A 21,223-nucleotide genomic window follows, 5' to 3' on the forward strand; every position below is an offset into this window, starting at 1 on the left:
CTGGTTTTGCGGTTCTAGGCCAATAGGAGGGGTGGGATTGAGAGCCCAGGAGCAGGGACTGGCCTTCGAGAGAAAGGGGTGAGCATTCAAGCAGGGTGTCTGGTGAGGGCTGGGAGGGAGAGATCAGGAAGTTGAAGGAACTCTCATCTGATGGATTCTCTTTGTTCTGTGCAATAGGAAGAGAGGGGTTAGTGATGGCAGAGGGATGGGAGGGATGCTGAGCTGACAGAAGGTTTAGAAAAGCTGGTAGGAGGAAGGGAGAAAGAGCCGGCCAGGGAGGTAGAGCAGGCTGGTAGGAAGCGTCACAGGCACTGTGGGTGTTCCCCCAGTATTCATCTTCTCTTCTTCCACGGCGATGGAATATCACTGGTCACTCAAAGACCAAGGGACAAGGGTTGGGTTTTTTATTTTGTTTATGTGCTTGTTTTTTTTTTTCCCCAGCCCAAACATGTTTATCATGAACTCCCTTTTCAGAGCAATGAGAAGCCTCAACATACTTCTTTTTTTTTTTCTTCTGAGAGAGGGTCTCACTCTGTCTCCAAGGCTGGAGTACCGGCATGATCATGGCTTATACAGACTTGACCTCTGGGATCAAGCAATTCTCCCACCTCAGCCTCCCAAAGTGCTGGGATTACAGGCATGAGTCACCACGCCTGGCCCCCAACACACTTCTTGACAGAGTCTGTGGTATCTGCAACCTGAGAATACACACAAAATGCCCAAGCGTTATTCTCTGCACCAAGGCTGCATTTCCCAGGACTCTGACCCCATTTGCAAAAAGAGTCCAGCAGCAGTGAAGGGCCCAGTCTAAGGTGTCACTATTCATCTCATGGCTACCCTGGAAGGAGAGGGGGGCTCTGCACTACAGGATGGTGTGAATTTTGCCCAGCACTATGTTTTTAATATTCATGTATACTGACTTTTCTTTTTATTAAAAAAGTGGGCTGGGCTCGGTGGCTCACGCCTGTAATCCCAGCACTTTGGGAGGCCGAGGCGGGCGGATCACCTGAAGTCGGGAGTTTGAGACCAGCCTGACCAACATGGAGAAACCCCGTCTCTACCAAAAATACAAAATTAGCCGGGCGTAGTGGTGCATGCCTATAATCTCAGCTACTCGGGAGGCTGAGGCAGGAGAATCACTTGAACCTGGGAGGCAGAGGTTGTGGTGAGCCAAGATCGCGCCATTGCACTCCAGCCTGGGCAAACAAGAGCGAAACTCCGTCTCAAAAAAAAAAAGTGATTATTAAATATAATATACAAAAAGGCATAAATAATGCAAAACACCCATGTCCCTATCATCTAGTTTAAAGAAAACATTACTAAGAGCATTCATCTCTGACTGCATCCCTTCTCCCTGCCCTTAAGTACCTGCTCCCTGCTCCCTTGAGTCTGGGATCTTTCCTTCCCACGCCTCCCACCATGCTGGCCCAGAGAGGAGGGCGTTCCGTGGTGCAGTGCATTGCAGGTGGGTGAACAGGCTGCACTGCAACATTGCAGTAACAAATAGAGAAATCATGAAAGCAACAAAAGAGAGATGAGAACTGTACTTTAGAGATACAAATACAAGCAATTGCAGAGACCGAGACCAAAAGCTTAGGTCATTAATATGTTAGCGTAGACACGGTGACAAGTCCAATGGGTGGCTATCTTAGGACACAGAAACCTGTCAGTGAACAAACCACAGGATAATGACAAAGGGGCCTGGACTAGGACTGACGCCTCCAAGCTGTTCCTAGCCAAGGTTTCACCAATATTCAGGTGAGGAGGGATTGCCATTTAAAACGGGAGTAAAGTTGTGGCCACACCAGTGTGTTGTTATCAGGTTTGGTATTAGCTGGCTGGTGAGCTGCAGAAGTCTATTTTACCGTGTGGGTTAGTTTCTCTTTTTTCTTTCTTTCTTTTTTTTTTTTTTTTTTTTGAGATGGAGTCTCGCTCTGTCTCCCAGGCTGGAGTGCAGTGGCGCGATCTCGGCTCACTGCAAGTCTGCCTCCTGGGTTCACGCCATTCTCCTGCCTCAACCTCCCAAGTAGCTGGGACTACAGGCACCCACCACCATGCCTGGCTATTTTTTTTTTTTTTAATATTTTTAGTAGAGTCGGAGTTTCACTGTGTTAGCCAGGATGGTCTCGATATCCTGACCTCATGATCTGCCTGCCTCGGCCTCCCAAAGTGCTGGGATTACAGGCATCAGCCACCGCGCCCGGCCAGGTTAGTTTTTCTTAACAAGTCAATGCTCAGATGCGTCTACCCACCAGGCTCACATTTGAGTCAAGAAAATAAAATGAAAGCCCTACTGGATTGTTGGACATCTTGAAGTACTTCCTTAGGGAAAGATGGGTGAGAGGCTGTTAGCTGCCATTTAACTGTAGTTTCAAATTTATCAAACATCTCTTTGCAATATGTCCAAGTTAGCCTGGAAGTGAACTCGACTTCATAGCCAGAGGAGCTGCCTGCCTTCCAAGCTGTGCTGCTAGCACTCTCCTCCCACCCTGTGCTGGGCACAGTTTACTGTCTTAGATTGTGGGCCTGGAGTTTTCTTTGTGACAAGGTTGTTGTTGTTTTCTTTTTTGAGACAGAGTCTCACTCTGTTGCCCAGGAGTGCAGTGGCATAATCTCAGCTCACTGCAACCTCTGCCTCCTGGATTCAAGCAATTCTCCTGCCTCAGCCTCCCAAGTAACTGGGACTACAGGCAAAGGCCACCATACTTAGCTAATTATTTTTTGTATTTTTAGTAGACACAGGGTTTCACCATGTTGGCCAGGCTGGTCTTGAACTCCTGACCTTGAGTGATCCATCCACCTTGGCCTCCCAAAGTGCTGGGATTACAGGTGTAAGCCACCATGCCCAGCCTGTGACAAGGTTTTTAACTATAAATTCAATTTCTTTAATTAACATTAGGCTATTCAAATGACCTATTTCTTCATGAGTAAGCTCTTAAGTTTTTCAAGAATTTATCCATTTCATCTAAGTTATTGAATCTGTTGGCATAAAGTTGTTTATAATGTTCCCTTGTTATCCTTTCAATATCTATGGAATCTGTAGTGATGTCTCCTCTCTCATTTCTGATATCAGCAATTTGTATTTTGTTTTGTTTTGTTTTTTTCATAATCGGTCAGGCTAGAAGTTATCAATTTTATTGATATTTTCAAAGAACCAGCTTTCAGTTTCATTGACTTTTTCTATTGTTCTTGTGTTTTCCATTTCATTAATTTCTCCCCTTTGATCTTTATTATTTCCTTTTATTTGCTTACTTTGGAATGAATTTGCTCTATTTTTCTAGTTTCTTTAAAATTTTTTTTTTTAATTTTTTTTTGAGACTGAGTTTTTGCTCTTGTTGCCCAGGCTAGAGTGCAATGGCGTGATCTCAGCTCATCACAACCTCTGCCTCCCAGGTTCAAGTGATTCTCCTGCCTCAGCCTCTAGAGTAGCTGGGATTACAGGCATGCGCCACCACGCCTGGCTAATTTTGTATTTTTAGTAGAGACGGGGTTTCTCCATGTTTGCCAGGCTGGTCTCAAACTCCTGACCTCAGGTGATCCGCCTGCCTCGGCCTCCCAAAGTGCTGGGATTACAGGCCTGAGCCACCGCGCCCGGCCCCTACATTTATTTTTTTACACCTTTTAGGTCAGAGCAGAAGAACTTGAACATTTTCTAGTTTCTTGAGGTAGAAGCTGAGGTCATTGATTTGAGTTCTTTCTCCTTTTCTAATATGACCATTTAGTGCTATGAGACCACCAGGCCTTGGTGACATTCCTGACCACTGGATAAAGCCTCAGCTGAGGCCAACCTGAATCCAAACCACTAGTTTTCAACGCTCACTACACATTAGAACTACCTGGCAAGCTTCTAAAACTAGCCATGCTTTGGCCCCACCCCAGGCCAATTAAATGAAAATCCCTGGGAATGAACCTCATTACTGGGAGTTGTCAAAGCTCACCAGGTAGTTCTGTTGAGCAGCCAGGACTGGGAATCACCACTCTAGGCCACTGTTTTTCGAACTGTCTGTAATAACAGCAGTTTTCCGTTTCATTTTCAGTTTTATTGTTATTTTATTGACTGATACTTTTGTAACACACAATAAAGATGAATCATATAGCTTCATCCACTGGAGGTATCCTTTATAAAAAGTGGTTCTTCTATGCCTCTTAAACCCAGGTGTTCTCGTTATCCTGTAGCATCATCAACAAGGTAGGAAAGAAGGGTCATGCACGTGGATCTTGCAGCCACATAGATATCTTATCGTGGACCAATAACAGTTTGTGGACCACTGTAGTCCAAGGACTGCACTGCAGCACTGTCAAGCTTTCTTGACTATGAGTCAATAACTTCTTTTTATTGTTTAAAGTAATTTTCAGTTACAAGAGGCAGATTCCAATTGAAGCACTCTATCACAGCCATATCCATCTAGGCTGCAGTCATCGGATGACATGTTGCTCTCTCTTTCTATCTCTCTCTTTCCCACAGGAGAGATGCAGCCATCCCAGAGTATGTGCGTAGTCATGGTTTATTTGATGGTGACTGTGTGATCACTGTGCACTCTCATTCTGGCTCCCTTTCCAGAGCAGCATTAACACAGGTGATACAAACTTCCCTTTCCGCCACTGTTGACACTAAAGGAAATGAGAACATCTGGGTTTAAGAGGTAATGGAAGCACCACTTTTTTTTTTTCATAAAGGAAACCTCTAGAAGTCACATGATTTGGCGGTACCTTTTCTTTTTTCTTTTCTTTTTTTTTGAGACGGAGTTTTGGTCTTGTTGCCCAGGCTGGAGTGCGGTGGCACAATCTCGGCTCACTGCAACCTCCACCTCCCAGGTTCAAGCGATTCTCCTGCCTCAGCCTCCTGAGTAGCTGGGATTACAGGCATCCACCACCACACCTGGCTAATTTTTTGTATTTTTTAGTAGAGATGGGGTTTCACCATGTTGGCCAGGCTGGTCTCAAACTCCTGACCTCAGGTGATCCACCCGACTCGGCCTCCCAAAGTGCTGGGATTACAGGTGTGAGCCACCATGCCCGGCCAAGGAACATTTTCATCTTTTGATCACAAGCTCCTCTTTCAACTTACAAATACGAATTTTAACATACTTGCATTGTTCTTTTTGTTGCTCAAATCATCCTGTATTTGGTCAGAGAGAGCCTTTTCACATGAACCCCTGTGTCCTTTTAATCAGACTCCATAGTGATGATACCTTCCTTGTTCAGCTGCCCCAACCTTGGACTGGCCATTTGGCAGGAGCCCTAGTTTCTTTTAGCAGAGAATGACATACAGAGACCATGATCTAGGCAAGATATATACTTTTTTTTTTTTTTTTTTTTTTTGAGACAGGATCTCACTGTCTCCTTGGCTGGAGTGCATGGCAGTCACGACTTACAACAGCCTTGAACTCCTGGGCTCAAGGGATCCACTAGCTTCAGTCACCTGAGCAGCTGGGACCACAGGCACATACCACCATACCTGACACTCTCTCTCTGTCTCTCTCTATATATATTTGTTGTTGTTTGTTTGTTTGTTTTCGTAAAGACAGGGTCTTTTGTTTTGAGACAGATCTCACTCTGTTGCCCAGGCTGGAGTGCAGTGGCACGATCTCGGCTCATTGCAACCTCCGCCTCTCAGGTTCAAGTGATTCTCCTGCCTCAGCCTCCTGAGTAGCTGGGACTACAGGCACGTGCCACCACGCCCAGCTAATTTTTGTATTTTTAGTAGAGACAGGGTTTCACCATACTGGCCAGGCTGGTCTTGAACTCCTGACCTTGTGATCCACCTGCCTCCGTCTCCCAAAGTGCTGGGATTACAGGCGTGAGCCACCGTACCCGGCCAAGACAGGGTCTTTTTTTATTTTTCATTTTCTCAGCCTGAATATGTTTGTAGACAAGGTCTTGCTATGTTGCCCAGGTTCTACTCTTTTTAAACACAAAAATTACATAATTTTTCAGACAATCTGTTTTGCCATATTGAGAGGCCTTTGCATTAAGTCTGCTAATGCCCTGACAACCACCACATCACTTGGGATTTGGAGTCCCTTTGGGTTAGAGCAGGGTTTCTCAACTTCGGCACTATTGACATGTGGGCTGGATCATTTTGTTCTTTGGAGGCTGTTCTGACACTGCAGGTAGATGCCAGTAGCACCTCCCTAGTTGTGGCAACCAAAATGCCTCCAGACATTGCCCAATACCCCTGGGGGTGCCAAAATCATCCCCCGTTAAGAATCACTGGATGTCCTCTGGGATTCTACGGAAAACTTCCTGGAACAAACCAGAGAAAATCTGACTCCTGATGTCACATCCATGCCAGCTTCCTGCCTCTGTTTCCCCATTTGTCCAGTTGGGATCATGACTACAAGATAAAACAGCATATGGTGGGAAGCAATGGGACCTGCAAGGAGTCATCGTGGTACTCATGAGGAGCAGACATAAGGTCACAAGCAGCACTGCCCTGGAACTGCATGGCACTGTGCTGGCTTTGCCAAGGTGGTAGGGCATCCCACTGAACTGACTCAAGTCCCCAGGATTGCTCCAACTCTTGTATTCCCTCCAGGCCTCTTTTTAATGTTAGCGTTGTTTAAGATCTTTCATTTTACTGTCAAAAAGAGAAAGTCTCATTTAATTCATACCAGATGCTGAGTGAGTCGTCATGAATCAATACAACATTATCCAAAAACCACCAAAATGAATCATAAGGATAAACAGGATTTTTTTCTCCCTGCAAAACAGTGACTAAAATAGTGCCTTGCCCTTTTAGAAAAAAAAAAAAAAAAATCTGAGGTTAGGAGGAGGCCTAGGGCCCTGCTCATGTAATCCACGTGTCCGTGAGCATGGAATGGTTCAACTGCAGGTCCTAGGGAGACAGTGTATGAGGCCTGCAGCTAAGCCAGGCAGACACGGGCTGGAGAAGGTGTCCCAGAGTTAGGATTCAGGAATGGGGGTCCAGCAGCCCCCTGAAACTTATGCAATCCTCTGTTTCCATCCCAGTCTCAAAGCTGTCTGTGACTCAGAGAAGTTTTGTCACCCTCATTATGGATGAAGAGGCTCTTGGGAACTGTGGAGGGTCTTCTGGGAGGTGAGCATCCCAGAATTCTTCTGCTGCTGATAAAGCTAAGGCAGCCCATCAGCCTCATGAGCACTTATTTTCTCAGTCCTTCCTCTACTGTGATCCTGAGAATGCACTCTGAGTATGTAGGGGAGTCAGAAATGGTGTTTGTCCTCTCTGGGGCAGCAGGGAGGCTGGAGAGGGAAGGCTCTGGGCCCACCTAGGCACTCAGACTCTGACCCTTGAATGGAGGAAGCAAAAGCCAAGAAGAGGTTGGGGCTGACACATCTTTACAGTGTGGCCAGATGAGACTCTCAGTTGGTTCCAGCTTCTAGGTCCCCACGGCCTCCCTGTTTTCTGTCTTTTCCAGACCAGGCTCTTCAATTTCCCCTTCCATGTTGTGAGGGACTCCATAGCCTTCTTGTGAATTTCCCTTGGGGTCGGGGGTCAGTGTCTGTTTCTTGCCACCGCAGCACCAGGCTGGTTGTTTCTGTAAGAGGCTCTGAGAGCTGCGCCTCCCACATCCCTCACCTCCCAGACTTGTGCAGGAGTAGTCAGGAACATGCGGAGCTGGAACCACACTCGATGGCACCCACGAGGTCAAGTCAGAAGGGCTCCCTTCTGGTAAGGCAGAATCAGAGCCAAGGAGGCTGAGCGTTCCCTGCAATCACTGCCATCACTGATGAAGGAACTGACTCATCTGATGTGGGCCATTGAGGAATGTGGAGGTTGGACGAGTGACCACTAGGACCTTCAGCAATAGAGAAAATGGAACTGGCTGGGCACGGCGGCTCATACTTGTAATCCCAGAACTTTGGGAGGCTGAGGTGGGAGGATCACCTGAGGTCAGGAGTTCAAGACCAGCCTGGCCAACATGGTGAAACCTTGTCTCTACTAAAAATACAAAAATTGGCTGAGTGTGATGGCACGTGCCTGTAATCCCAGCTACTCCAGAGGCTGAACCAGGAGAATTGCTTGAACCTGGGAGACAGAGGTTGCAGTGAGCTGAGATTGCACCACTGCACTCCAGCCTGGGCAACAGAACAAGACTCCATCTCAAAAAAAAAAAAAGAAGGAACTGTTCCCAGAGATCCTCAGTGCCACTCCAGGTTTCAGCGAAGCTCTGCTGAGGGGCCGGGGTCATGGACCCCAGTGTACACAGGCTCTACTAGGGGATCCTATCGAAGCCCCCTCCCCCGAATGGCCTCCAGGAATCTGTCCTGGCTCCACCTCTGGAACCTTCATTTTCTTACATCTTGCCTGTAGCCATCACCACACTTGGCAACCTACTGTGTGTCACCTAGCTCCCCTACTTATGGGATGACTACTTCAATTCTTCACTCTCTCAAACTTCCAAGGCCCTCCTATCCCCCCCTCACCTCTGGCCTCTGCCCACTAGAGGACCCCCACTAGTAATACCCCTTAGTTGTGACAATCAAAAATGTCTCCAGACGTTGCCAAACATCCCCTCAGGTGGAAAATCACCCTCAGTGAGAACCACTGATCTAGACCAACAGCCAGCCGCTCTCTCTCATGCTTGTGACCCACATCTGGAATGCACACATTTGACTGACCTTCATCTGTCTCTTGATGCAGCCCTTTTTCAAAGCCCAGCATGGCTGGGCATGGTGGCGCACGCCTGTAATCCCAGCACTTTTGGAGGCCAAGCCGGGAGGGTTGTTTGAGCTCAGAAGTTTGAGACCAGCCTAGGCAACATGGTGAAACCCCATCTCCACAAAAAATACAAAAATTAGCCGGGTGTGGTGGTATGCACAGGTGGTCCCAGCTACTCAGGAGGCTGAGATAGGAGGATTGCTTGAGCCTGGGAGTTCAAGAACAGCCTCGGCAATATGGCAAGACCTCATCTCTTAAAAAATAAAAAAAAAAAAAATTAAAAAAACTTGATCACATTTTTCTGGAGGGGAATTTAACAATATTTATCATAAGCTTTAAGTTAATAGTGTAATATAAAATAAGCTGAGCATGGTGGCAGGCACCTGTAATCCCAGCTACTCAGGAGTCTGAGGCAGGAGAACTGCTTGAACCCAGGAGGTGGAGGCTGCAGTGAGCTGTGATTACGCCACTGCACTCCAGCCTGGGCAATAGGGCAAGACTCCGTCTCAAAAAAGAAAAAAAAGAAAAGTTAATAGTGTAATATTATGAACTACTGATACATGAAACATAGGTGAATCCCAAAAACATAATGCTGAGGGAAGAGTACATACACCAGGCGGGTGGCTCACGCCTGTTATCCCAGCACTTTGGGAGGCCAAGGTGGGAGGATCGCTTGAGCCCAGGAGTTCTAGACCGGCCTGGGCAACGCAGCAAGATGACCCATCTCAATTTTTTTTAATTAAAAATAATAATAACTAAAAAAACCCCAAAGCCCAGTGGACTGACAGGCAGACAACATACATACACACGCCCCTGTAGATTTCGAGGTGTGATTCGGACACCTCTGTGTCTCCCTGGTTCCAGTGTCCCCCTCAGTTGATCTGAGGAAAGCAGGACGCACTCACCCCTCCCCCATGGGTGTGGCTGGGGGCGGGCTCCACAGTACAAGCCTCTGCTAAAGAAATCTGCTTCCACCGGGCAGGTGGCTCACACCTGTAACGCCAGCACTCTGGGAGGCTGAGGCGGCTGGATCACCTGAGGTCAGGAGTTTGAGACCAGCCTGACCAACACGGTGAAACCCTGTCTCTACTAAAAATACAAAATTAGCCAGGCGTGGTGGCACATGCCTGTAATCCCAGCTACTCAGGAGGCTGAGGCAGAAGAATCGCTTGAATCCAAGAGGCAGATGTTGCAGTGAGCTGAGATCATGCCACTGCACTCCAGCCTGGGTGACAAGAGCAAAACTCTGTCTCAAAAATAAAATAATAATAAAAATAATAAAAAATTAAAAAAATAAAAAATAAACCTGCTTCCTAGTCTCTGGCTCCTCTCTCTCGGCCTGTCCAACCGCTTTATAAGTTGGATGTGGGTGGTCAATACAGTGACTCAGAACTACCAGTTCTCAGACATTTCCCTCCCAGCCCTGCATAGGTGGTCTAGCATCCCATGCTGGGATTGGGAGGGGCTGCCCTGCCTGTCTGGGGCCTCAGCCAAGCCTGAGGCAGAAGGAGCCTGCTAACTACCATCCAGGTGCTCATTCGAGGCCCCTCTTCTCCTCGCCTCAGGATTCTTTCCCATTCCTATTTACTCAACCTCTCCCTCCTAACTAGAACCTGCCCACTGACATTTAGACATATTTAAATCTCTCCTGAAATTAAAAAAACAAACAAAAAACTGCTTTGAAAACCCCAAATCTCCTTGCAGCTACCTCCTAATTCTCTCCTCCCTTTCAAAGCCAAACTTGTGAAAAAGCTGTCTGCATCCACAATCTCCCTTTCCTCACCTCCCACGCATTCCAGTCTGGCTTCCCCCCTCATCAGTCCCCAGAAGCATCTCTCCCTAAGATGGTCAGCGATGCTCAGACCGCCAGGCTGAGCCTGGAGAGCAGTAAGCTGGCCTGGCCCGGGCAGGACCTTGGCCATGGGAGCAGCAGTAGGGTACACAGTGGTTGGTGTTACCCAGGGTTGTCAATGTCAACTGCAGACGATAAACTAGAACTTCTGTGCAGTTCCAGAAAGAATATCTGGCCTTGAGTCCTGAGGCTATGCCAACACCTACTTACCTTCATTGATTCATTCATCCATTCAATAACTCTTTACTGAGCACACTTGGGCCAGACCCTGAGGTAGGCACCTGTTATAAACTTGGTCTCTACCCTCATGGAGCTAACTGCCTGGGCATTGGTCAGAGTCATGAAAATACACAAAGACGACCGAGATGCTTGATGGAGAAGTACAGAGTGTATTACTGTGGGATCAGATCTAGCCTGAAAGGTCAAGAAGAGATTTTCAGGCTGGGATCTGACCAATGAGTAGGAATTAGCTAGTCCGGGAGGAATGGGGAGAAAGAGATGATAGAAGACTGGGGGAAAGGTGTCTCTTGGGGACAAAGAAGCCAGGGATTCCAGAATTGAAAAGGACCAGGAGGAAGCAAGTAGGGAGGGGTGGGGAGAGCTGGACAGAAATTATTTTTCTCTTCTTTTTGAGATGGAGTCTTGCTCTGTCACCCCGGCTGGAGCGCAGTGGCACAATCTACACTCACTGCAACCTCCACGTCTGGGGTTCAAGCAATCCTCCTGCCTCAGCCTCCTGAGTATCTGGGACTACAGGTGTGCACCACTATGCCCAACTAATTTATTTGTACTTTTAGTAGAAACAAGGTCTCACCATGGTGGCCAGGCTGGTCTTGAACTCCTGAACTCAGGTGATCCGCCCGCCTCAGCCTCCCAAAGTGTTGGGATTACAGGCGTGAGCCACTGTGCCCGGCTGAAATTAGGTTTTTCTCTCTGCCCCTCAGCCTTTGTGCCAAGCCTTTCTCCTGCCTCACTCTGAAGGACTTTAGCATCCTCCACTCCCTTGATGTGGTCGACCCTTTTATTTCTCTTTCTCCCAGGACTCTGTCATGCCCGAGCTCTTGCATGTGCCTCCTCTGACCTGAATGTGAATGTTCTACAGAGCTCTACCCAGGCCTTACTCCCCTTCCCAACTCTTTTTCTTGACATCGTCTCCCACATTAGACTGTCACTTCTAACAGATCTCCAGTCCCAGAACTCTCCCCTGAGACCCAGGTTCAGAGATCTCCTTGCCCAGTGATCATCTTCACACAGATACCCTGCTCACTATCTTAAACACAGCAGATTGTAGAGTTAGAAAATGTTAAGTCTCACTTTCGCTGAGAAAATGTAGAAAGTAACATAAAGCAGCCAGGTGTGGTGGCATGCACCTGTAGTTCCAGCCGCTTGGGAGCCTGAGGCAGGAGGATCGCTTGAGCCCAGGAGTTTTAAGGCCGCGTGGAGCTATGGTCACACCCTGTACTCCAGGCTGGGAAACAGAGTAAGATTCTGTCTCTTAAAAAAAATTAAATTAAAAATAAGCTAAAGCCTTTTTGTCCCCAAAAACTTGATTAAAAATAAATCAACGAAGACACAGAATCTTGAACAGAGCCTGAGCCTTCCACCTGAACCTATACACTTGACGCAGATGGTGGGCTGAGACTAGCCTTTCTTTATGCCGATAAGGAAACCGAAGTCAAACGAGCTTTGATTAGTTGATTAATCATGTTGAAACAAGGTCCCAGTAAAGCTAAATTTAACTGTGGCCTGCTCTAGATTCCAAATTGCATGCTTCCTCTTTTATAGTTTTTGCCAACTCATTGTAATTGGATTGCTGAGTCTGAGTGATGGGTATATGAAGACTTCATTACACTTCTCTTTTGTGCATATTGAAATTTTTCATAATAAAAATCTAAAAGGAAACAATGTCTCTTTTTTTCTTTTCTTTTAGCCTGTCTTGGCTACTTGATTAGTGCTTGTCTACAATGTAACTCTTAAACTTACTGCTATGAGAGAATTGCTTGGACTCATGAAACACGCTTTTTGGAGGAAATTAGGTGATATGAGACATATAACTATGCCCTGTAGTTGCAAATGACATCATTAGTGAATTAGTTTTCTTTTTGCTTCTTTTCTTTGTTCTTCTAACCATATGTGTGTGTAAATGTGTGCGTGTGTATACCCTGAGAATTTCTGTGCAGGGAGGAAGTGGTTCAATCTGCTTGTCTCTGAGCAGCCGTTGGCTTTTAGAATAAAGAAATGACTCTGCCTTGTTTCTGATTCAGATGCAACATGAGGCTTGTTTTCATCCATGAGGTCTAAATTCAAACACCTGTCTTCTCCCCCTATAAAACATAATCCTCTTTCCCCATAACATTGAAGGAGAAAAAAAAACTTGGCTTTACATGCTGTTTAGGTTAGATCTGTAAGAGGAGCTTAAGTGCTGATTACAAGAAACACTGAGAGAATGAAAACTAGTTTGGAAACCTCATGTGGCTCAGAAAACTCCATATGACAAAGATACCACACAGCTTATGTAGGCATCCAGGTCAGAAGGGCAGGTGCACAGGAGCCTAATTTGTAAAGGCCATTGTCATATTCCATCTAAGGACTGACTCAGCCCTCCCATTCCTTCAACCATAACTTTTATTCCTTTCCACACCTCTCCCACTACTGTCTTCATTTCAGCAGAAAAAGACAATCTCTCTTGACCAAAATATGAGGCCTACAATAGTAGCATTTGGCACATTTCACCCACCTTGTTTAAATTTTTATTTTGATATACAGTCATCCCTGGATATCCATAGTGGATCGGTTCCAGGACCTCCCTCAGACACCAAAATCCATGGATGCTCAAGTCTCTGATATAAAATGGGGTTGTATTTGCATATAACCTATGCACATTTTCCCATATACAGAATGTTAAATCATCTCTAGATTACTTATAATACCTAATAAAGTATAAATACTATGTAAATAGTTGTTATATTGTATTATTTAGGGAACAAGGACAAGAAAAAAAAGTCTGCACATGTTCACTACAGAAAATAAAAACATTTCTTTTGATTCAAGGTTGGTTGAGTCCACAGATGCAGAACCCATGGATATGGAGGGCTGACTGTTAAGTTCAAACATAGAGAAATCCCATAAGCACAGTATAAGAAACGCTATAACTTTTACTCTGGCCCCATTTTTTTTCTCTCTTTCTTTCTAAGTGCTGGAGTTTATCAATTTTATTAATATTTTCAAAGAATGAAATTTTGTGGGCTTTTTGAAACAGGGTCTCATTCTGTCACCCAGGCTGGAGTGCAGTGGCACAATCATGGGTTAACTGTAGCCTCTACCTCCCAGGGTCACCTCCCACCTCAGCCTCCCGAGTAGCCAGGACTACAGGCATGCACCACCATGCCCACCTAATTTTTGTATTTTTTTGTAGAGACAGTTTCACCATGTTGCCCAGGCTTGTCTTGGACTCTTGATCTCAAGCAATCTGCCTGCCTCGGCCTCCCAAAGTGCTGGGATTACAGGCATGAGCCACCATGCCTCGCCTAACATATCTTTAAATTTCCTTTGTGATTTATTCTTTGACCCATGAGTTACTTAGTAGTATGTTGTTTAATTTCCAATTACTGGGGGATTTTCTAGATTTGTTTTTGTTATTCTATCTAATATAATTCCATTGTGGTCAGAGAACATCATCTATAAGATATCAGCCTCTTAGTATTTATTGACCTACTTATAGTCCAGCATATGGTCTATCATGGGGAATTTTTTATGTGTCCTTGAAAAAAAAAAGTGTATTCTGTAGTTATTTGGCACAGTGTTTTATAAATGTCAGTTAGGCAAGGTTGGTTAATTGTGTCATTCAATAAAATCACATACTTAGTGATTTTTGTTTTCTTGGTCTATCAGTGACTGACAGAGAGATATTAAAATCTCTAATCATAACTGTGGATTTGCCTAGTTATTGCTTTAGTTCTATTAGCTTTTCCTTCATGTATTTTGAAGCCCCATTACTGTTATGGACTGAATTGTGTCCTCCCCCAAAATTTGTATGTGTAAGTCTTAACTCTGAGTACCTCAGAACATGACTGTAATTGGAGCTAGGGTCTTTACAGAGATAATTAAGTTAAAATGAGGTCATTAGGGTAGGCCCTAATCCAATATGACTGGTGTTCTTATAAGAAGAGGAAATTCTGACACAGACACAGAAAGAGGGAAGATAATATGTAGACAAAGGGAGAAGATGGCCCTCAGAAGGAATCAACCCTGTCGACACCAATGTCTTGGATGTTTAACCTCCAGAACTGTGAGAAAATAAATTTTGGTTATTGACACCATCAGTCTGTGGTGGCTTTCTATGGCAACCCTAGCAAACTAATAGTTACTAAGTGCACACATTTAGGATTGTTAAGTATTCTTGATGAATTGATTCTTCTATAAAGTTTTTCTTCTTGTATCTACTAGTACTCCTTATCTTGATGCCTACTTTGTTTGATATGAATACAACCACATCAGCTTTCTTGTTTGTTCTTATTCTTGTTTATATTTCACCTTCTTATCTGTATTAAATATATATTTCTCTATCCTTTTATTTTCACTTTTTTGGTCTCTATATATTCAAAGTGTGTCTCTTAAGACAGCATAGCCAGGTGTGGTGGCGCATGCCTGTAATCCCAGCACTTTGGGAGGCCAAGACAGGCAGATTGCTTGAGTCCAGGAGTTTGAGACCAGTCTGAGTGACATGGTAAAACCCCACCTCTACAAAAAAATAAAAAAATTAGCCAGACGTGGTGGTACGTGCTTGTCATCCCAGCTACTTGGGAGGCTGAGGCAGGAGGATCACTTGAGTCCAGGAAGCAGAGGTTGCAGTGAGCTGTGATCATGCCACTGCATTCCAGCCTGGGCCACAGAATGTGACCCTGTCACAAAAAAAAAAAAAAAAAAAAAAAAAATCCCCGAAGCCAAAACAAAACAAAATAAAATCCAGCATAGATTCGGGTCGTTTTTTATTCTGTTTAATAATCTTTGCCTTTTCATTGAAGTGTTTAGTCCATTTATATTTAATGTAATGATTGCAATGATTGTGTTTAAATCTACTATATTGCTATTTGTTTTCTATTTGTGCCACCTATTTTTCATTCTGTTCTCTTTGCCTGCCTTCAATTAATCAAATATTTTTATTAGTCCATTTTATTTCTTCTATTGGTTTCTAGCTCTACCTCTTTATATAGTATTTTCAGTTTAGCTCTAGGTGATTACAGTATGCATTTTTATTTATTTATTTATTTATTTATTTATTTATTTACTTATTTGAGACAGAGTCTCGCTCTGTCACCAGGCTAGAGTGCAGTGATGCAATCTCTGCTCACTGCAACCTCCATGTCCTGGGTTCAAGTGATTCTCCCGCCTCAGCCTCCCAAGTAGCTGGGACTACAGGTGCACACCACCACGTCCAGCTAATTTTTTGTATTTTTAGTAGAGACGGGGTTTCACCATGTTGGCCAGGATGGTCTTGATCTCTTGACCTCGTGATCTGCCCGCCTCGGCCTCCCAAAGTGCTGGGATTACAGGCATAAGCCACTGTGCCCGGCCTACATTCTTAATTTATTACATTTTGCTTAGAATTAATTTATCCATAAAATGTATAACCTAAAGAGAGAATAATTTCATTTACCCTACCTGTCCTTCTGCTATTATTGTCATATATTTTACTTTTACATGTTTTATTTTTATTTATTTTTGAGATAGAGTCTCATTTTATTGCCCAGGCTGGTGTGCAATGGTACAATCACGGCTCACTGCAGCCTCAACTTCCCAGGCTCAGGTGATTCTCCCACCTCAGCCTCCTAGGTAGCTGAGACTACAGGTACACATCACCATGCCAGTCTAATTTGTTTGTATTTTTTGTAGAGAGGGAGTCTAACCACGTTGCCCAGACTGGTCTCAAATTCCTAGGCTCAAGTGATTCTTCTGCCTCAAACTCCCAAAGTGCTGAGATTACAGGCATGAGCCACTGTGCCTGGCCTTACATGTTTTAAATCTTACAATAAATTATTATTGTTTTTGTTTGGTCAGTTGTTTTTTAAAGAAATTATTTTTAAAATTAAAAAAATATAGGCTTTTATATTAGCCCATATAAGATGTTCTTCATTCCTTTCTGTAGAATGTACCATAATTTATTTATCCATTCACCTACTGAAGGACATCTTGGTTGCTTCCAAGTTTTGGCAGTTATGAATAAAACTGCTATAAATATCTGTGCAGGGTTTTATGTGGACATACGTTTTCAACTCCTTTGGGTAAATACCAAGGAGTGCCGTCACTGGATATCTTTGCCTTTCAGCCTGATGAACAATCTTTAGTGCTTATTGTAGTGCAAATCTGATGAAAATGAATTCTCTCAGCTTTTGCTCATCTGAAATTGTCTATATTTCATGTTATGTCTTCCAGTAACTGTGAGTCCCATGTGAGCATAACTGACAAGAAAAGACACACAAGTTCTTAGCATGTTGCTGGGTCAAAGAATAGCATTGTTTTCTTAGTCTGGTGAGATGATGAATGAGAAAATTATAGTTATAGCCAAGTGAGTGCCAAAGACTTCAGGAGGCAGTGGGTTTTTACAAACTTGTTTGGATTGGTGAAGTATCTTTGTTTTGGGATTGCCAATCTCCTTCAACTGAAGAGGAAGTTAAAACAGACATCCAAAGCCGGGCGCTCAAGCCTGTAATCTCAGCACTTTGGGAGGCCGAGGTGGGCAGATCGCTTGAGGTCAGAAGTTCGAGACCAGCCTGGCCAACATGGCGAACCCTGTCTCTACTAAAAATACAAAAATTAGCCAGGCATGGTGGTGGGCGCCTGTAATTCCAGCTACTCGGGAGGCTGAGGCAGGAGAATCGCTTGAACCCAGGAGGCAGGGGTTGCAGTGAGCTGAGATCCCGCCACTGCACTCCAGTCTGGGCGACAGCACAAGACTCTTAAAAACAAACAAACAAAAAACAAACAAACAAACAGAGATCCAGGATCATTCCATAGCAAGAAGAACAGAATCACAACCAACAGCCCCTGGTGGCTGCTCCTCATGAAGCACAAATGATTGCAGTGGTTGTTTCCCTGGCAGCTCCTGTTTTTGTGTCAAGGGCAAAGCTCTAAGCAGCATTGCTCTGTCTCTTCATTCCCCTCCCTGCCCACATTAGAGAAGTATTTTTGCAGTCATGGATTCAAGGCCAAAGGCCCCTATTAGCAATGTTTCAACGAAGTTTTTTTTCTGGTGTGTATCCCAATTTTAGGATGTGTATCCCAATTTTAGGATGTGTATCCCAATTTTAGGCTGCACATGGCAGCATGGTTTATCAGGGATGGTTGGTTTCTTAGGTTGGGTTCCCGAAAACAAATTTTGAGACAGAAGCAATGTGCAAATGATTTATTAAGGAAGTGCTCCCAGGAGAAACAATTAAAGGAATGCAGAAAAGAAGTAAAGGAAGAGGAAGATGCCAAGCAAGGCTTTGATGCTGGCCATGTCCCAGCCTCAGCCTGATGCAGAGGTGAGTTCTGAAGGGGAAATTACACTTTATAGTTTTGTTCCACTGCAGTGAGGGAGCTGGGCTTTCACATCAGTGAAAGTGCAGGCTTTCCTGCACCAGTCAGTGGTTATGAACACAGGTAGGAAGGACACATAAACTCTCAGGCCATTCTCACTCCCTTTATATGCTGGTGTGCACAGCAACCCCAGCAGACCAGGTGTGATGCCCTCAGGTACAAGCCACTGGAAACAAAGGTCACAGAAAGTGGAGGATAACAGGACAGAAATGGTAAAAGGGATCCAGGGGGATACAGGTGAAGCACCAACAGCATCTGCCACGGTAGGACATGTGAAAAGAAGGCCTTGACACGCTTTTTATAGAATGCTTTGTACTAATTTAGGAGGATATCATTTAATATATTATTGCTTTTAAGTGGGTTCCCCTGGGAGTATAGAGGGACGTGTCATGGGCCAACCCATTAATATTTCAAGATGAGAATGTCTCTTTGACAGCTGTGCATCTTATACTTGCAAGAACTCTGGGAACTATCTAGGCCATTTGAATCAGGTTTCTGCACACATCTTGACCAATTTAGTTTCTGAAATTCTATTTTGTCATTTTATACCCCCCCACCCGCTGATTCTATAGTGAAAGTCAGTAGTCAAAGTCTTGTTGCATCTGAAAGCCTTCACAGACTTCCTTTCCCATTTGACCTATGAGGTTTGTGTCTCATTGTATTAAAGGACAAGGATATTTCTCTCTTTTTTTTTTTTTTTTTGAGACGAAGTCTCGCTCTTGTCCCCCAGGCTGGAGTGCAATGGTGCGATCTCGGCTCACTGCAACCTCCACCTCCCGGGTTCAAGTGATTCTCCTGCCTCGGCCCCGCTGGGATTACAGGTGCCTGCCACCACGCCCAGCTAATTTTTGTATTTTTAGAAGAGACGGGATTTTACCATGTTGGCCAGGCTAGTCTAGAACTCCTGACCTCAAGTGATCCACATGCTTTGGCCTCCCAAAGTGCTGGGATTACAGGCGTGAGCCACCACGCCCGACCTCTTCTTCTTTTTTTTTTTTTTAGAGATAGACTCTTGCTCTGTTGCCCAGGCTGGAGTGAGTGGCACGATCCTGACTCATTGCAACCTCAACCTCCCGGGCTCAAGCCATCCTCCCACCTCAGTCTCTTGAGTAGCTGGTATTACAGGTGCACGCCACCATGCCCGGCTAATTTTTTAATTTTTTAGTAGAGACGCGGTTTTGCTATGTTGCCAAGGCTGGTCTCGAACTGCTGAGCTCCAGTTATCTGCTTGCCTCAGCCTCCCAAATTGCTGGAATTACAGGTGTGAGCCACCATGCCTGGCAGATATTTCAAATTTGAGTAGGAAAACTTTTAACAACTCTTTGATGATGACAGTGTAGTATATTTTGTATATGGTGATAGTTCTACACATCTCTAAACATATATTTCTATTTATGTGATCAGTATTTTTTCATCTGGATGAAATTAACAGAATAATACTGTTGTGAATCATGCCGTTCCATTATCTGTCAAAAAATGGCAGAGACAGGCCAGGTGCAGTGGCTCATACCTATAATCCCAACACTTTGGGAGGCTGAGGCAAAAGGACTGCTTGAGCCCAAGAGTTCAAGACCAGCCAGGGCAACATAGTGAGACCCCCATCTCTACCAAAAAAAAAAAAAAAAAGGCAGACATGATAGTACTGTGGTCTACAATGGAACACACTGGAACATATCCATAGCATCTAATGACTTTTATCAAAAGTCCTTCATTCATCATACCCCCTTTATTTCACATGAGCCATTCCAGGAATCATGTGAACAAGAAGAAGATTCTTGAGTGCCATCAAGTGGCCATTTGGGGAAAACCACAGGTGATCTGGGTGTAAGACCATCAGCCTCTACATAATTTCCTCCCTGAATTTGGGGTCTGGTTTTGGAGCAGAGAAATGTTAAAAAAAAAAAAAAAGTTGTCAGAGGAACCTAGTTGGAGGTTGAGGATGAAACCAAAGCCATGGCCTGAGAAGGGAGAAAATGGCTGAAGTAGCCAAAGATTATTTTTTTAAAGACTTTATTTTATTTTATTATTTTTTTTGAGATAGAGTCTCACTCTGTCACCCAGGCTGGAGTGCAGTGGTGCAATCTCGGCTCACTGCAAGCTCCGCCTCCTGGGTTCAAGCGATTCTCCTGCCTCAGCCTTCCGAGTACCTGGGATAACAGGCGCGCGCCACCACACCCAGCTAATTTTTGTAATTTTAGTAGAGACAGGGTTTCATCATGTCAGCCAGGCTGATCTCGAACTCCTGACCTCAGGTGATCCACCTGCCTTGGCTTCCCAAAGTGCTGAGATTACAGGTGTGAGCCACTGTACCCGGCCAGACTTTATTTTTTTGAGAGCAGTTTTAGGTTCATAGCAAAATTAAGAGGAAGGCACTGAGATATCTCATATGCCCCCCCAACACATGCACAATCCCCCCCATTAACAACATCCCCCACCAGAGTGCTACATTTATTACAACTGATGAACCTACATTGACACATCATCACTCAAAGTGTATAGTTTATATTAAGGTTCATTCTTGTTGTTGTACAATCTATGGACAAATGGAAAAATATATAGGACATGTGTCCACCATTATAGTATCATACAGAGTATTTTCACTGCCCTAAAACTCCTCTATTCTCTGCCTATTCATCCCTTCCTGCCCTCAGCCCCTGGCAACCACTGATCTTTTTACCATCTCCACAGTTTTGTCTTTTCCAGAATGCCATATTGTTGGAATAATACAGTGTGTAGCCTTTTCAGACTGGCTTCTTTCACTTAGCATTATGGAATTAAGTTTTCCTCATGTCTCTTTACGGCTTGGTAGCTCATTTCTTTTTAATGCTGGATAATATTCCATTGTTTGAATGTATCACAATTTATCCATTCACCTACTGAAGGACATTTTAGTTACTTCCAAGTTTTGGCAGTTATGAATAAAGCTGCTATAAATACCTGTGCAGGGTTTTGTATGGACATAAGTTTTCAAAGCCAACATTGGATCATATGGCAAGAGTAGGTTTAGTTTTGTAAGAAACTACCATACTGTCTTCCAAAGTGGCTATGCCATTCTGCATTCCCATCAGCAATGAGAGTTCCTGTTGCTCCACATGCTTGCCAGCATTTGATGTTGTAAGTGTTCTGGACTTTGGCCATTCTAATAGGTA

General features: G+C 44.5%; 1 long non-coding RNA gene across 1 annotated transcript in view, besides 2 other annotated features; it reads right to left on the bottom strand.

Moving 5' to 3' along the window:
• Positions 1–21,223, bottom strand: part of CRTC3-AS1 (CRTC3 antisense RNA 1) — a 97,132-nt gene that overhangs the window by 53,995 nt on the left and 21,914 nt on the right. The window lies entirely within an intron of this gene.
• Positions 4,078–4,137: an enhancer, noted in NCBI's record as "active region_10089". NCBI's record gives its function as "activates an Ori minimal core promoter by ATAC-STARR-seq in GM12878 lymphoblastoid cells {active_cell/tissue: GM12878}" and the evidence as "EXISTENCE:reporter gene assay evidence [ECO:0000049][PMID:35858748]".
• Positions 9,054–9,554: an enhancer, noted in NCBI's record as "H3K4me1 hESC enhancer chr15:91226288-91226788 (GRCh37/hg19 assembly coordinates)". NCBI's record gives its function as "activates a minimal SCP1, AML or CMV promoter by ChIP-STARR-seq in primed H9 embryonic stem cells {active_cell/tissue: H9 hESC(primed)}" and the evidence as "EXISTENCE:reporter gene assay evidence [ECO:0000049][PMID:30033119]".

Source organism: Homo sapiens, chromosome 15 (genome assembly GCF_000001405.40).
Source record: "Homo sapiens chromosome 15, GRCh38.p14 Primary Assembly".
NCBI classification, from domain to species: domain Eukaryota; kingdom Metazoa; phylum Chordata; class Mammalia; order Primates; family Hominidae; genus Homo; species Homo sapiens.